The sequence below is a fragment of the Homo sapiens genome, chromosome 5 (genome assembly GCF_000001405.40).
Source record: "Homo sapiens chromosome 5, GRCh38.p14 Primary Assembly".
Lineage (NCBI taxonomy): Eukaryota > Metazoa > Chordata > Mammalia > Primates > Hominidae > Homo > Homo sapiens.
In genome coordinates, this window is record NC_000005.10 from 130,798,137 (window position 1) to 130,816,803 (window position 18,667).

The 18,667-nt window shown below is 35.0% G+C and overlaps 1 long non-coding RNA gene across 1 annotated transcript in view; it reads right to left on the bottom strand.

Annotated features, from left to right (window-relative positions):
* Window positions 1-393: 393 nt before the first annotated feature.
* The window catches only part of LOC107986449 (uncharacterized), a 72,898-nt gene continuing 54,624 nt past the window's right edge, over window positions 394-18,667 (bottom strand). The window contains exons 2-4 of the long non-coding RNA XR_001742881.1: window positions 13,440-13,556; window positions 12,037-12,131; window positions 394-469 (exon numbers count right to left, since the gene is read on the bottom strand). This is a non-coding gene — a long non-coding RNA (uncharacterized LOC107986449). The remainder of the gene's footprint in view (window positions 470-12,036; window positions 12,132-13,439; window positions 13,557-18,667) is intronic.

Sequence of the window (18,667 nt, forward strand, 5' to 3'; positions counted from 1 at the left end):
ATTTCACCTAAGCATTGACCAGCCTATACGTTTACAAATTGTATCCCTATTCAAAATAACATAGAGACTGCTGAGGTTTGAAGGCAGCTTATGTGATACTCTCTTCCCTGTCAGATACAAGCTAACTGAAAGCAAAAATGTTAGGCAGAGGAGATTAAAAATATCAGATTTATTATAGATTAAACTAGATTGGAATAGATGGCTTTGGAGAAAAAAAGATGTTCCTAAAACTCCCTTGTCCAGAATTAGATACTTACCCTTCAGTCACTATCAGCACTGGACAATGGAAGTCCTTTCCCCATATAACCAAGAGCACATCAGATCTCTCTACAGAGAGAAGAATCACAAAGACAAAAGGGAAATAATATGCCAAGCATGCTCTGTTTCTTGTCCCAAACTCACCAATGAGGTTAGTCCATTCTTCTCTCATGAGGAAAAGGAAGGAGCACAGAGGAGAAAGATGTCCTACCTGGCAAGAGACATCAGAAGAATGGAATAAGTATTTACCCCAACACTTCTCAGCTTTTCTTTCATCTCTACCTTTTAGGCTCAACCAATATTTTAGGAATAACCAGGTATGGAGACATCGCCCTCCAGAGAGATCAGCAGTCTATCAAAATTTTCTGCTCTCACCATTTGTTTTTTATCCCCGGACCACAATTTCAGCAGTATAAAGTTTTCTCCCAGAAGACACTAAAATACGCTAAAACCATATACTAACTAAATTAATCCCAGAACTACTTAGGAATTAATACTAAAAATTTATTCTCTATTCTATTTCTTAGGCCAAATTATTTTTCAGTCTTGTCCAACATAGTATTTATTGCTGTTTTCCAGTAAAATAAAAAGGCATCATAAAGATATTTTGGTAATAATACAATAAATTGAGATGCCCAAATTTAAATATGAATCTTTTGAAATCAAATTATCAAAACTCAAATATAAAGAGAACATTTTGAAACAAGAGAAAAGTGACTAATACAAGAGAACCTCCATAAGGTTATTAGTGGGTTTCTCAGCAGAACCTTGGCATTTCAAGAGAGAGTAGGATGATATATTCAAAGTACTGAAAGGAAAAAGTGCCAACTGAGCATATTATAAGTGACAAAGCTGTCCTTGAGAAATGAAGGAGAGACAGAGATTTTCACAGACAAACAAAGGCTGAAAGAGTTCATCACCACTAAGACCTGCCTTGCAAGGAATGCAAAAGGGGGTTCTCTTCAAGTTGAAATGAAAGAACACTAATTAATAACATGAAAACATATAAAAGTATATAACCCACTAATAAATGTAAATACATAGTCAAATTCAGAGTACTCTAATACAGTAATGGTGATGCACAACAGATTTTTAAAATCTAGTGTAAAAGTTGAAAGACAAAGTATTAACAATAATCATAGCTACAATAATTTGTTAATGGATGCACAATATAAAACGATGTAAATTGTGACAGCAATGACATAAAATGTGGGAAGAGGGGAAGTAAAAGTGTAGAGTTTTTGTACACAGTTAAGTTGTTATCAGCATGAAATAGACTGGTATAAGATTGTGTAAGCTTCATGGTAACCACAAAGACAAAACTTCTAGTAGATACACAAAGGATAAAGAAAACGAAATCAAAGCATACCACTACAAAACTCATCAAATGACAAAGGAAGACAACAAAAATGGAAGAAGAGGAACAGAAGAAGTAGTAACCATTGAGAAAAAAAATAAACAAAATTGCAATAAGAAGTTCTTACCTACCAATAATTACTTTAAATGTAAATGGATTAAATTTTTCACTCGAAAGGCATAGTGGCTAAATGGATTTAAAAAAAAAAAAAGACCAAATATATGCTGCCTACACTAGATTCACTTTAGCTTTAAGGACACACATAGGCTGAGAGTAAAGAGATGGAAAATGATTATATATATATATATATATATATATATATAAATGTATATATATATAATGATTATATATATAAATGTATATATATAATGATTATATATATAAATGTATATATATAATGATTATATATATAAATGTATATATAATGATTATATATATATAAATGTGTATATATATAATGATTATATATATATTTTAATGTTGGACCACATGCATTGGATATAAATTGGAACATATAAATATATGAAGCACATATTAACACTGAAACATATAAATATATACATTGGAACATATAACTATATAAAGTAAATATTATATTGTATATATAACATTGGAGCATATAAATATATAAAGCATTGGAAATATAAATATGCAAATCAACATTGGACTATATAAAGCAAATATTAACAGAACTGAAGGGAGAAATTGGTAGCAATATACTGATAGCAGAAGACTCCAATATCCACTTTCAACAATGGATAGATCATCCAGACAGAAAATTAATATGGAAACATTGGATTTGAATAACCTATAAACCAAGTGAATCTAATAGACATATAGAACATTTCACCAAACAGCAACGGAATAAACATTCTTCTCAAGTGCACATGGAAAATTTTCCAAGATAGATCATATTTACATAGTCATAAGCCACAAAACAAGTCTTAACAAACTTAAGAAGACTGAAATCATATCAAGTATCCTTTTGGACCCCAATAGTATGAAATCAATAATGGGAGGGAAAATTAAAATTCACAAAAATATAAAAATTTTAAATCACACTCTTGAACAATTTGCATTGATATATACTAACAATGAACTATCTGAAAAAGTAATTAAGATGACTATTCCATTTATAATAGCTTCAAAAAGAATAAAATATTAGGAGTAAACTGAACCAGGGGTCCACTTTCAGTTCACTGAAAACTACAAAACATTGATGAAACAAATTTAAGAAGACACAAATAAATGGAAAGATTTCCTGGGTTCACAGGTTGGAAGAATAAATGTTGTTAAAATGGCCCTACTACCCAATGTGCTCTACTGATTCAATGTAATCCCTATCAATAGAAAAAAATCCTAACATTTATATGAGACCACAAAAGTCCCCAACAGCAAAAGCAATCGTGAGCAAAAAGAACAAAGCTACAGGTATCACACTTCCTGATTTTTAAATATATTACAAAGCTATAGTAAACAAAACAGTAGGATACTGGCATAAAAATAGACATATACACCAATAAAACAGAATACAGAGAACTGAAGTAAATCTATACATATATGGTCAGCTGATCTTTGATAAAAGTGCCAAGAACATACAATGGGGAAAGGACAGTGTCTTCAGTAAATGGTGCTGGAAAACTGGATATATACATGTGATAGATACTGAGTGATCTCCCTTATATATGGAGTCTAAAAGCAGAGAGTAGAATGGTGGTTGCCAGAGGCTGGTGGGTTGGGGGAACTGGGGAGACGTTGGTCAAAGGAGATAAAATTTCCATTATACAAAATGAATACATCTGGAGATCTAATGTATAGCATGGTGACCACAGTTAATAATACTGCATTGTATACTTAAAATGAGCTAAGAGAGTAGATCTTAAGTGTTCTCACTACAAAAAAAAGTTAATTACGTAAGATGATAAATATGTTCATTAGCTTGATTGTGGTAATCATTTCCCAATGTGTACACACATCAAAACACCATGTTTTGCACCTTAAAAATATACAGTTGTTATTTGTAAATTATGCCTCAATAAGGCTGGGGGAAATAAATCAGGGGTGAGGCCATAAGCAATGAACAGGAAATATCCCATTTGACTGGCATTAGAAGAAGATAGTGTCACCTGACAATGGTTTAAATTTGCCACTCTCACTTCCAGGCTGTAGTAATTTCTGATGCTAGACCCTCAAATTCTCCCTCTACCTGGGCCAAAGCAACTAGTAACTTTCCAGACAGTGGTTGATCTGTCAGCCTGGGCCCCAGAGTGAGGAAAATGTGGAGCAGAAATGCCAGCCAGGACAAAATAAACACACAGTAACAACATGAAATAAATATTTGTTACTACATTTTAATCCACTGAGATTTGGAAGTTAACATTATTGAAACAACCTAGGTCATGCTGGTTGCGCAATCTCTCATTCTCCAATTATCTTCCTCCTCCTATGTTCCCTCATAAAAGGTGCTCCCAGGCATGCAGGCCTATCATCTTTATTACATTTTTCCCTCCTCCCCATGTCTCTCATCAATCACTAGATTCTATTGATAAATCTTCCAAATTGGTTCTGACAACACTGCGCTGTCTTTTTCATTTCCAAAGTAACTTTCACCATGGTTCTCATCATCTATCACCAATAATGAAGCTATATTTATATCTGGTCTCTAATCTTCAATCACTTATTGTGCAGCCAACATATCCACCTTACTTCAGCACATTTAACATGCATCGTACACAATGGACATTAAGTCATTCAACTACTTGGAACTTTCAGTGTTTTGTTACTGCTAATTAAAAATTCAAAATTTTTAGTTAGAGAATCAAGGCTTTCTATACCATATTCCCAAACTAACTGCTCAGCTATAATTAGTACTCAAATTTATATCTTTTATATATCAGGGGGCTTTTCAATGGAGGCTCTTGAGCTTTTGGAAGAATGTGAATATTGATCACAATCAGTTTTTTAAAAGACTCCACAAATTCAAAGCTCTATAAATGTGCCTACATATTACATGTGAAACTGATAGTATCCAACCATCCATAGAAAAGGCTTCAAAGCTGTGTCCTTTAAGACTCAGACAAAATAAGAAGATGATTCTCCTTGTTAAATCATGACACAAAGCAGCTATAGCAAAGCTCAAACTTAGGAAGTTAATGTTCTATCTTGACATATCTCAACCTCACTGATTTTCTTCACAAGAACTGTCAGTATTTTAAAATATCTTCACTCTGTTTATCAGATTTTCTAGAACTATAACAGTGGCAACTCATTATCAGAGGTGGAGAACTCAGACCTTTCTCTCATTAATCAGTCAACTCAACATGTATTTCATAAGCACATAACACACGCAAGGGACCATGTCTTTTCATATTTGTATCCAAAGCAAGTAGCATCTTGCAAAGAATGACCGTATTAGTCTGTTCTCATGCTGCTGATAAAGACATACCTGAGACTAGGCAATTTACAAAGGAATTAGGCTTAATGGAGAACTCATACCTACACATGACTGGAGAAGCCTCACAATCAAGGCAGAAGGCAAGGAGGAGCAAGTCACATTTTGGATGGATGGCAGCAAGGCAAAAAGAGCTTGTGCATAGAAACTCCCATTTTTAAAACCATCAGATCTCATGAGACTCATTCACTGTCATGAGAACAGCGCAGGAAAATCTGCCCCCATAATTCAATCACTTCCCACTGGGTTCCTCCCATGACATGTGGGAATTGTGGGAGTTAGAATTCAAGATGAGATTTGGTTGGGGACACAGCTAAACCATATCAATGACCAATAAATAAATTCTGATTAATTGCTAAGCTCTGGGTAACACAAGTTGAATTACTCATAGGCCCTACACACAGAGACTCAAATATTTGGGAGAAACAGTAAAAACTACCCACAATGCAAGTCAAAATGGAAATACAAGCATTAAAAATGGAAATACAAGCATTATAAGAGCCTGGAACAAAAAATATATATATATTCTAATTGTGAGAATCCAGGAAAGTTTAAAAGAGAATGTTGCATTTGAGCAATGCCTTCAATATTTTTTTAACTGTAAAAAAATATAGAGAAAGCATTGCAAGTTGAGAGATCAGTATAGCCATATAAGGAAATCTGGAATTATCTAACATTATTAGGAAATAGAAAATATGACAGAATACTAGGTCAGAATACACACAGTGGAGTAGTGGGAGAATTGGCTGAAGAGGTAACCTGAGGTGCTAGCATAAACTGCTTTGAATGCCAAACACTTTTGAATTTAATTTTTTAAGCAACTGAACACAGAGCATAGGATAGTAAAAATAGTCTAATATATTTTAGGGAGATAGTTCTGATGGCAGTATCCATTATTGATAATATTTTGAAAGTTATCTCACAGGAGGCTAAATTTTCCTAATGACAATATGTTCACTGTTCATTCTTTCAAGGGCACCTGAATATTTTTCAGAACATTTTGCTCTCCTAGAATGTATCTGGATGGCATTGTAAGGGTGAGCACTTAAGTGCATTTTAATCACATAGTCCTATGTTGCATGCAATTTGGTTCACTTTGTGTAAAATATTTTATGAGAGTTGATAAGAGGCAGATAATCTCACCTCTATTCAACAGGTCTGAATCATTTAAAATGATTAAGGATTAAGAAGTCATTCAATTGTTTCAGTGGATTAAATAGTTCAAGGATGATAGTTACTGCTTTATCAACAGTTTTCCCATTAATCTGTTGTTCCTATGCTCAGCAATGTTCTCTCAAGGCCAAAACCATCTCTTTTGGGTTGGTGAATATAAGCGCCCTCCATTTTTGGCAGCTTTGATCTCAAGCTTCACTGTGATGAGCCCAGCTGTTCACAAAGCTATTTTCATGCTTGCCAGCTTAATATCCTGCAGCACAGCAGTGCAGTGAAGTGAAGAAGGTCCCTTTCTGATTACAGGTATGCAACAAGAGTTAATTATTAGAAATGCTTTCTGATAATACTCAACTGAAATAACAATCTCAAATGATGAAATTTATGAGCAAAAGCTACATTTCTTTCAACATATCTGCAGACAGAGAACAGAGAGTGGTAGCAGGGAAGAATAATTTCTTGTAGTTTCCTAGAGGTGGATATCATAAATCACAGGAAACATTAATTATCCTCTAGCTCCATGAGAATATGGGTCAAGACTCCACAAAGATACAATGAACCAAAAGCCTCAAACCTCATCAGTTTTTTCCGCTTTTATGACTTTTCTAAAAGGTAAGTACAATGTCAAAAAGAATACACCATTTTATAAAAACCACATATGATCTGATTGAGAAAGCTGCATAAAACAATTCAAAATCTCTCAATCAATGTGACATTTAACTTAGCAGATATGGTAGAGAAGAGTAATTAATTGCTTAATCATTTGCAAAAGGACATGTACTTGGATGGAAGAATTTTTGGCAACATTTAAGTAAAAGACACATTAAAAATGGCTGTTCCAATGCCTTTTCCTCTCAAGGAGCAAGACTGCCATTTTAACACCACATTTACTTATTATGATCACATCTAATTCTGCTCTTGTATATGTAAACAAAAGCATTTCTTAGCCTTACTATTTTTAGATTCATGGAAATTTCTTTAGAAAGGACATTTTCAAATAACTTTCAAAAGTTCACCATTATCATAAAGATAACATCTGACTATTAGGTACATAGTAGCCTTACCTGCTTCCATTACTACCATAGACACGCTTTGCCCAGTATTGATTTAATTGATTAAATTCTCAGTGATAGGGACAATGAAGTCCAGGCTGAGGTGGTCTCAGATGGAGATGAGGAACTTGTTGGGAATTGGAGCAAAGGTCTCTCTTGCTATGCTTTAGCAAAGAGACTGGTGGCATTTTGACCCTGCCATAGAGAACTGTGGAACTTTGAACTCAAGAAAGAAGATATAGGGTAATCTGGCAGAAGAAATTTCTTAGTGACAAAGCACAGAGCATTCAAAAGGAAGCAAAGCATAAACGTTTGAAAAATTTGCAGCCTGATGATGCAATATGAAAGAAAAGCCCATTTTCTGGGGAGAAATTCCAGCTGGCTGCAGAAATTTGTATAACTAACAAGGAGTGAAATATTAATCAGCAAGACAGTAAGGAAAATGTCTCCAGGGCATGTCAGAGACCTTCACAGCAGCCCCTCCCATCACAAGCCAGGAGGCCCAGGAGGGAAAATGGTTTTGTGGGCCAGACCCAGGGCCCCACTGCTCTATGCAGCCTCGGGACACAGTGCCCTGTGTTCCATGTGCTTCAACTCCAGCCATGGCTAAAAGGGGCCAAGGTACAGCTTGGGCCATTGCTTCAGAGAGCGAAAGCCCCAAGCCTTGGCAGCTTTCATGTGGTCTTCTGTGGGTGCACAGAAGTCGAGAATTGAGGTTTGGGAACCTCTGCCTAGATTTCAGAGGATGTATGGAAATTCCTGGATGTCCAGGCAGATGTTTGCTGCAGGGGTGGAACCCTCATGGAGAACCTCTGCTACAGCAGTGCAGAAGGGAAATGTGGGGTTGGAGCCCCCACAAGAGTCCCCACTGGGGACTCTCACTAGACCACTCACAGACCACTCACTAGAGGGTCTGTGAAAAGAGGGTCACCATCCTCCAGACCCCAGAATGGTACATCCATCAACAGCTTGCACCTTGCAACTGGAAAAGCCACAGGCACTCAATGCCAGCCTGTGAAAACAGCCAGGAGTGGGGCTGTACCCTACAAAGCCACAGGGACAGAGCTGCCCAAGGTTGTGGGAGCCTACCTCTTGCATCAGTGTGACCGGGATGTAAGACATGGAATCAAAAGAGATCATTTTGGAACTTTAAGTTTTACTGACTGCCCTGTTGGATTTCAGACTTGCAGGGGGCTTGTAGCCCCTTTGTTTGGGCTACTTTCTCCCATTTGGAATGGTCATATTTACCCAATGCCTGTACACCCATTGTATCTAGGAAGTAACTAACTTGCTTTTGATTTTACAGGCTCATACATGAAAGGTTCTTGTCTTTTCTCAGATGAGACTTTGGACTTGGACTTTTTGGTTAATGCTGAAATGAGTTAAGACTTTGGGGACTGTTGGAAGGGCATGATTGTGTTTTGAAATGTGAGGACATGAGATTTGGGAGGGGCCAGGGATGGAATGACATGGTTTGGTTCTGTGTCCCCACCCAAATCTCACCTTGAATTGTAATGATTCCCATGTGTCAAGGGCAGGACCAGGTTGAGGTAACTGGACCTTGGGGGCAGTTTCCCTCCTGCTGTTCTCATGATAATGAGTAAGCCTCATGAGATCTGATGGTTTTATAAGTGTCTGGCATTTCCCCTGTTGGCTCTCATTCTCTCTTCTGCTGCCCTGTGTACAGGCACATTCCACCATGATTGTACGTTTCCTAAGGCCCCCCAGTCATGAAAAACTGTGAGTCAATTAAACCTCTTTTCTCTAAAAATTACCTAGTCTTAGGTATTTCTTCATAGCAGTGTAAGAATGAACTAATATATAACCAACATCAGATGTCTCTACCACTCAATTCTAAAAAATGTTTAAGGTACAAATAATGCCAGTTTTTAAAACAATTTTTGAGATAATAGAAAAATACAAAAAAACTCCCAACTTATTTTACAGGGCCACCATAAAGGAAATTATAAGAAAGGAAATCCTATGGCCAAGTTCATTTCTAAATGTAAACGCAAAATACATATAACTTTTTTCTTTTTGAGACAGAGTCTCACACTGTCACCCAGGCTGGAGTGCAGTGTCATGAACATGGCTCATTGCAGCCTTGACCTCCTAGGCTCAAGCAGTCCTCCCACTTCAACCTCCCAAGTAGCTGGGACTAGGCACACACCACCATGCCTGGTTAATTTTTTAATTAATTAATTTTTTTTTTTTTGGTAGAGATGGAGTCTCACCGTGTTGCTCAAGCTGATCTCAAACTCCTGGGCTCAAGTAATCCTCCTTCCTCAGCCTCCTAAAGTGCTTAGATTAGAGTCATGAGCCACTGCACCAGGCAAAGCATAAAAATTGAATCCAGAAATAAATGAAGAGATCAATGCCTGACTGTACCTGACATACTTTGTTGCTCTTTCAGGTCCACCCTGCAAAGAAGCTTCAAGGAGCCAATATCCTGAAGACATGCAACCCACAAGGGATGATTTCCCCAGGTACTTGTACTATATATCTGTAGCCATGATGAATCTACAGTAGTCAGAACCTACATTCACTGCAAAGCCTTTAGAGATCCCCATATAAACCAAACAAATACTCTCTGCCTATCAAATTGCAATCTAAAATTTCCCAAGAATTTCCAGATATTCAGAAGAAAACTCAAAAGCCTAGTGGGGGTTGCAGGGGTGAGAACTGCTAAACCTAAATTACAATAAAATTAGTATCATAATCTCTTAGACTTAGTAGAGAAAAACAGAAAAAAACTTTAAATAAATATAATTAACATCCTCAGAGAGACTTTCTTATCCATTATAAAAGAAATATGCTTCTCTGAAATAAATTATTTTGGGGCTTAGAGATTAAACATAATATATATGTATATATAACATATAATTTTAATACATATTTAATATATATTCAGTTTATTTATATATCTAAAACATTAAATGTATGTAGATGCATACACATACATATATGTTCATAATAAATGCTGAAATTTTAAAATGCACACAAAATAACAACCTGGAAATAAGAAGAGACCCAGATAAAATATGAATTAGTGAGATGGAAGATTAAACAAAATGATTATCAAAGAAGAAGTGCAAAATGGCAAAGAAATGGAAAATATGTACAAAAGTTGACTGGCATAGATATATACAAATATGCTTATTGTATCATTGTTTTAATAGTGAAACATTGAAAATATTCTAGATGTTATTTACTTATTGAATTCTTAAATAATTTATGGTGCATCCATATTTATTATCTATTACATATAACATTAAAATATGGCGCATCCATATTTATTAACTATTACATACATAACAATAGTTGCATTCCATTGTAACAATTTTAAGTAAGCAGTGGCTTAAACAAATGGCTAGAATTACGTCAAATTGAGGCAGTATAGATAGTCAAGGAAGTGACCATGTTCTCGGGATGCAGCAACCATCATGACCATACAGTCAACACAACAAGCCTCAACATGTGCATTGTAACTGAGTATTCAAGCAAAGCTATCTTCAGTAGATTTCCCCTGTAGAGAACATGCACACTTTGATTTTACCTGTCCTCAAACTGACCCTTTACTCATTTTAATAGTAAAAAACACACCCCTGGATGGATATTTAAGATGCTAATGAGACGTGAAACATATGAACAAACATGTAACAGCTACTGCACGTGTGCAACAAGAAGACCACCCAGAATATGCTTACTAGTAACACTTCTTTCCACTTCCTTATGAATAATCATGTAAGACTGCCATAAAAGGAGTCACCCAGGTGCCAGTCTTTGCTGTCTCATCCTTATGAACAGCACACCCTGAATCCTCTCTCTTCTCTCAGGGTGTAGTGTCTATTCTGCACCTAACTTCCAAATATTATTTTTATTTTGCAATAAATTACTCTATGCTGTATCTCCTTTGCTGTGTGTCTTTGCTTTGTGTGTTGTGTCTTTGCTGTGTGTCTCTTGTTTAAATTCTCTTAAACCAAAGAAGACAAGAATGAAGGTATCACATCAGCTGTCAACAAAATGGCTATGTATGCAAAGGACACATAAACCTGTTGATTTTGTTTGTTTCATCTGGGCACATTGCTGCTTTCAATAAAACTGGGATTCTCTTAGAAAGAAGAGATTACTGGATATTAAGTAGGCTTCTAACGGTCACTACAGACTGTAAAAAGAATAAGTTATTTGAAATAATATGATATACCAGTGTCACAGAAATATACACATAATATCATTCTATGTAAAATGAAAAAATCAAACTATATTTTTTATTTTAGGTGAGTTTCTGTGTATGTAGTCATGAAAATGAAAACACAAAGGTATTTGCATTACACTGAGATTTGGAAAAAAATAAGCAGAGGAAAAAAAATAAAAGAATACTCTGTAAAATATCAAAAGCTGATCATATCTGAGTGAAAAGAGCATGAATTGTTTTTAATTTTTCCTTGTGCTTTTGTGTATTTCTTCCTTTTTTCCTACACTATACATGTTTATTTTGGTAATCAGGATAAATGCAGCAAATGAATATGTATAAAACATGGCGGCTAAGAGGCAGTCAGAATAATTTCAGAGAACAAAATACTCTGGTGGAAAATCTGTTTATTTCTTTCGGGATTTTTCCATTCTTTTTTTTTCCTTTGGGTTTCATTTATTTGTTTTTTGTTTTATTGATTTGCAACATCAAAACTATTTCATAACCAGGTATGATTGAAAGTACTTATGAATGGGAGATACAAACTTAAAGATACCTGTTTACTTCCTGTTTTGTTTAATGAATTTACATTGATTGTCAGTGTGCCAGCTTGATTATCATCTCCGCAGGCACAGGAAGACAGCATTCTTTCTGGAAAAAGCCAACATATTACCTAAAGTGAATATTTGAATATTTTTTACAGCTGTTTTAAATTAATACTTAAAATCACAGATGTTAGTCTGAACTCTCTCTCTCTCTCTCTCTCTCTCTCTCCATATAATTTTAATTACCAAAGAAGCAGAGGCAGGGTCCTGGGATAGAAGATGAATTTAATCAACCCATTTCCTCCCAAGGCTCACCTTCTAAAATGTATCATTTTTTCCTTGGCCCTTTCATTTCCAGTGCTGCTACTTTGCTCTTCAGCTTACTGACAACTCATTCCTCAATAAATCACAGATGAGAAAGTATATGAACTGAGGCCATGGGGAGTATATCAAACATGTGATGCTCTGGAGCTGCCATCTAATTCTTACCAGCTCCTTCAGGTGATTTACCTCAAAGCAGTGAATTTAAAAGAATTTGATCTGTGATAATGCCAATTTATGTTTATCTCACTGGACTGCTATGAGAAAATAGCTGAAATGTTTACATTGAAATAATTTTGTAATATTAAAGAGCATGAGGCAAAAAGAAAAAAATCCTTTTTTTCTAATACTAGTATTTGTCTGCAAGATGCAGGAGTCAAACCATACTTCTAGAATATGCAAAAGTTACTAGATAATATTTGTAATTCTCTTAGGCTATGTCACATTTTTGAAGCATTTCCTAGTTTCTGGGTTATCAACTTTCACAATCTAAATGACCATCAGTTGAAATATATATTATTGATTCAGGAAAATTACTTCACTTCCAATGAGAAGGAACTCCTTCTTTCTGTTAATTAGGACCTTGCATAAAACGTTAACTCTCAAAAGAGGCATCCAAATTCAAGCAGCAAGTTGTAGGATCAAGAATATTGGTAAAGGATAGGAATGAAGTAGCTAAAAATTTAGTCCACCAACTTTTCTGACATCCCTTCTTTAGAAGGTATAAATGAAGTATTTTTCAACATTTCTTTGAAGAAGGAGTTTCCATGGTCATGAACTTAAAGGAAAGCATCAACATGTCTGCCACGCTTCACACCTCAAGGAGGCCAAAAGCAATAAAATAAAGATTTGTATATTGTTCTAGATATGCTATGATAATCCCTCTCTCTTTTTTCATTCTTATTGGAGAGCCAATACAACTCTCATTTTACCAAATTACAAGAGCTAATTAATCACATAATGCACTACATGAGGGCTTTTTGAAAATATAAGTAATATAAGCTTTAATTAGTTTATCCTAAAACTATCCATATTATAAAATGAAATTATGTGATCAAAGTGTGGTTCCCTCCATTGAAAGAAAAATAATTACCTGTTGCAAAAGTCAGGAAGCATCACCTTCAGATAGTGCATAAGGATCTTTTTTTTCTTAAGTCATATATATTGAGTCTTGGTGTTTAGGGTAACATATCTCTCAGACAGGGCCATTCTGTAAAGAAGAAAAATCAAGTAAGCAAAGTTGTCATTCCGGCCTCTAGCCAAACATTCCATCTTGTGTCCTTTCCTCCAATTGTGTGTGGATATTCACTTTCTCCTCTCTTCAACAAAAGCTGATCCTAAGGTCAGATAATGTGTCAGGGTATCATTGAAGTCTCAAAATGAACTTAATTACATAGTTAAATTCTTCCAGTTGCATTTGCATTTTAATTATTATCTTTAAATTTTTTCCAAATATAGCTATGAATTTTAAGCATTAATTTTATTCAACAGTAACTCTACACAGCCAACACTTCCTGAATCGAGGTAAGCAAGAAGAATGTCAGAGAAAAAGAGACATGAATTTTAGATACTATACATTATTGAATTACTGTTTATCCCAAAACAAATTATACATATTTTTGATATTTCACTTTCTTCTCAATGAAATAGGATAGTTCTTTCACAGACTTTTGTAATAAATGATCAATATGTTAGAAAATTCAGGAACCGCAGAAAATGTTGTATCCCTCCCACGTTAATGTTTTCTTTTGTATCCCTCCATATCAATCTTTTCTTCCATTTTATTACATTTCTCCTCTCTAGCTAAGGATCTGCTTTCCACTCTTATAATTATTTTTTATTTACTTTTTATTGATACATAATAAATGTACATATTTTGGGGGTACATGTAATAATTTGATACACTCATATAATGTGAAAAGATCAAATCAGGGTATTGGGATACCCATCACCTTAAAAATTTATTTCTTCTTTATGCTGGAAACATTTGCATTATTCTCTTCTAGCTATTTTGAAAAGTTCAATAGCTTAATGTTAACTATGGTCACTTTATTGATTTATTGAACACTAATAATGGGTACAAATATACGGTTAGAATTAAGTTTTCTTTAATAAATGAAATGTTAAACTTTTGCACCCAAATTGCAGACAGTACTCCTACACAAAGAAAAATAAGAGAACTAAACTGCACTGAGGAAAAATACACCTACATTATTACAACATCTTTAACGATTCTTTTAAATATAATTCTTCATTAACTCAGTGCCTAGACAGCGTATTTTTGTTCTTCTCTGCTTTATATAGGTACTCTGTCAAATCTCTGAATTCTTTTTCTGTCTTATTAAAAATGTTAAAGGAAAATGTCATGTAGAAAATAACATGCTCATAAAAGCAAATGTTAACATTAGATTTGGAGGAAGACAATGCTGTCAAGTTTCAAGTTCTCTCATCACTGATTGTTAAAGATTTAAAATAAAAATTCTTGATATGTAAAGAAAATGCTAAGGTGAGAATGTATAGTTTTATTTCCACTCCTCTTGACTTCAGTAATGTAGAAATGAGGTGTTTATTTTACCAAGAATCTTTAAAAAAAATGGTGGGTGGGGTACAGGAACTTTTGAAACAAAAACAAGGACAGTAATGAGAAAAAAGTCCATGTTATTATACTTTCATTATGTATGTATGTATGTGTGTAATTTAAATGTTAAAACAAGCACAGGCAATATGGTGTAGGGATTAAAAGCAGATTCTAAGATCAGCCAGGTTAGATTGCAATCCAATTCCCTCACTTCCCACCTATGTCATATTGAGTAAATTATTTAATGTCTGTAGGGTTCAGGTTTTTTAATCTGTAAAACAGATATACTAGTAGGCATTAACTCAAACAGTAATGTGTCAGTAGGCATTTAGCCTTGATTAATAGTTTCATTAGTTATCTTCTAGAAAAAGAATCCTGGAATATAATATAATAATTTAAGTATATCAAATACAACAGGGCAGATGTTTTGAATCCTTAACAACAATGAAAGGGTTTCTAATACCTTTATTATCTCAAGCCTCACAAAAGAGGCAACCAGGTTACTTTCCCTCAAATCTCACAGAGGAAACAGAAGCCATCAGAAATAAATTTCATCATTTTTCTACCCCCAAATTTAAAAACCTTCCTGCATTAATACCCATATTCCCATATTCTATTCTGTTTCAACAAAAGATATGACCATACATCTGTCCAAGGCCAGTCACTCCACTTCTGCTCTCAATTAAATTCCCTCATGCATTCTATAACGCCCATGCAATGTCAATCATCCATCTCTCTCCTGTATGATAAATCTCTTCACTTCTATGTATCATTTCAATCAGGACACAAACATGCTTTAGTACCTTTTATATTAAACCAAAGTAAACAGAAAACACTGATGCTACTTTTTACTACTCTATTTCTTTTTTTTTTTTTTTTTTTGCATTTTAAGTTTATGGTAAAGCTAAAAAGACAAGTAATGATTAACAAGAATTAAATGTAGTTGCTGCATGTAGAGAAGAGGAAAGGAGACACAGGAAGGGTTTCAAAAGTGATGGGGATGTTCAGTTCTTAAAGCTGACTTACTACCCTATTTCTGTGCCACCATTCATAGCTAAACCTCTCAAAAATGTCACCTGCTTTCCAATAGAATACTATTCAGCCTTAAAAAAAAAAGAGGGAAATTCTGTCATTTGTGACAACATGGATTAAACTGAAGAACATGCTGCTAAATGAAATAAGCCAGGAACGGAAAGACAAATACCTAATGTTTTTACTGACATGTGACATCTAAAACAATTGAACTCAGAAGCAGAGAGTTGTGGTAATAGAAGCTGGGGTGGGGGAAATGGGAAGATCATGGCCAAAGCGTACAAAATCAGACAGGAGTAATAAGGTATTTTTTTAATTCTTTTGCACAAATGGTTAACATGGCTAATAATAGTGTATTGCACATTTTAAAATTACTGAGAGTAAATTTAAAATGTTTTCCTCACAAAAAATAAGTATTTGAAGTCATGGATATATTAATTAGCTTAATGTAATTATTAATATTTCACATTTTATTCTTAAATCATAACATCACTTTGTACTCCATAAATATACACAACTATAAATTGTTGATTTAAAATAAAATATTTTTTAAATGTCACCTGCTTTCCTTTTGCTTCCTCACTTCCACTTTACTAATTTGAGCCAGTGCAATCTGGTGTCTCACCCCACTAATGCACTGATGCTGCCGTTGTCAAGGTCACTGCTGAGTTTCGTGTTGCCAAATTCAGTGGGCACTTCCTTCACTCATCTACTCCACCCTTCAGAATCATTTAATATGATCGACTATTCCCTCTGTCTTGAAATAGTATCACCTCTTCCCTTCACAGATATTGTGTTTTTGTTTTTCTTCTACCTCAGCTTCCTTTGCACTTTCTCTAATAACTGACCTCTAAGGGTAAGGGAATCTCAGAGCTACATTCTACTCTTTTTTATCTGTACAACCTACATCCAAGGTTCCTTTACCCATCCCCAAGGCTGAAATTATCCTACATTACTTAAGCTAACACATCCCAAATTCATATTAAGCCCAGAGCTCTGCTCAGAGCTCCAGACTCATATCCAAGAGTATATGTGAAGTCCCTAGTTGAATATTTCAGATATTTCTCAATTTTAATAAATCCAAAATGTAACCCTTAATATATCCTCCCATGGCAATTCCAGACTCATATCCAAGAGAATATATGAAATCCCTAGTTGAATATTTCAGATATTTCTCAATTTTAATAAATCCAAAATGTAACCCTTAATATATCCTCCCTTGGCAACCCAGTCTTCCTACTTTCTCCATCAAATAATTGGCACCATCATCATCCAAATATCTCAAGCCAAGAAAATGTAATGACTGCCCTTAATTGCTCCCCTTCCCTTGGCCCCTATTTCCCACAAATCAGCAAGTTCTGTTGATTCTATCCCTTAAATATCTCTGTACTTCATATCAATGAAAATTATTAGGAGAGAGCTTTCACTGTGTCAATTCAATCTTAAAGCTGTTTGGCTTTTCAGTTGAAAATGATGGAGAAAAGACTTTTTATTGTATTCTCATTCCTGTGAAACCCACTAAAGACAACAAAAAGAATGCAAGGAGAAAAATCTTCATCACCAATTAAATTATAAAACTGGGGCATATTTGCAATACTGTAAAATCTAGACCAAAACAAGGTGGGACGTTAAGAAAAGACACATACAGGCTTAAGTCTTGAACAAAGAAACACTGGTCTAAAAGAAAATAATTCTGTCCTAAGTCAGCAATAAGATCTAGGAGGATGGGTGGGCCAGAAAAGTAATAGGGACTATAAACAGAACCACAGGAAAGAGAATGGATAATCATGATGATATGTGATTTCTCTGGTCTACAACCTAGACTATTCATGGATGGGTAAAATTGAGGAGAGACCACCAGATCTCAGCAGCAGAGCTGTGACATAAAGGACTTTAATATGTCATAAAGTGCTAAGACATTGAAAGCTGAGCTCCCAAGAGTCCTGAGGCAGAGGAAATAACAAGCTTTTTAAAAGGGTTTTTAAGATGAGAAACATAAATCAAACCTACAGCGTCCCAACGCACATCACATATATCTCTGCCCAGTTATCCAACTATATCCTTCAAATAATTAGACCCGTTAAAAGCAGAACAAAAAAATTTAAAATATGAATAGACACACACAAATGTAGGAAGCTGTCTTAGTTCATTTAGGCTGCTATAACAAAATACCTTTGGTAATTTATAAACAACAGAAATAGATTGCTCACAGGCCTGGAGTCTGGGAAGTCCAAAATCAAGGTACCAGCAGGTTCAGTGTCTCATGAGAGTTCATTTCTCATAGCTGGCAACTTCTTGCTCTGTCCTCACATGGCAGAAGGGGCAAACAAGCTTCCTCTGGCCTCTTTCACAAGGGCACCAATCTCATTCATGAGGACTCTACCCTATGATCTAATCACCTCCTAAAGGCTCTACCTTGCATTAGCCTCCAACGTATGAATATTAGGGGAACACAAACACTCAGACCATAACAGGAGAGAAAATTAAAATCAGGCAGATGAAGAAAATACATTGCAAGAAAATTCCCCAAAAGACTAGCAGTTCAAACAAATAATTCTTCATGGTCTCAAATGAATTTCAGATAATATTATTTGCACTGAAAAGAAGAGCTCACAAAAGAGACAAATAGCTCAAGGAAGAGTCAATAAGACAGCAGAAGAGGAAAGATGAGCTAGTTAAGTGCAGAAATAAAAGGAAAAAAACACAAAGAA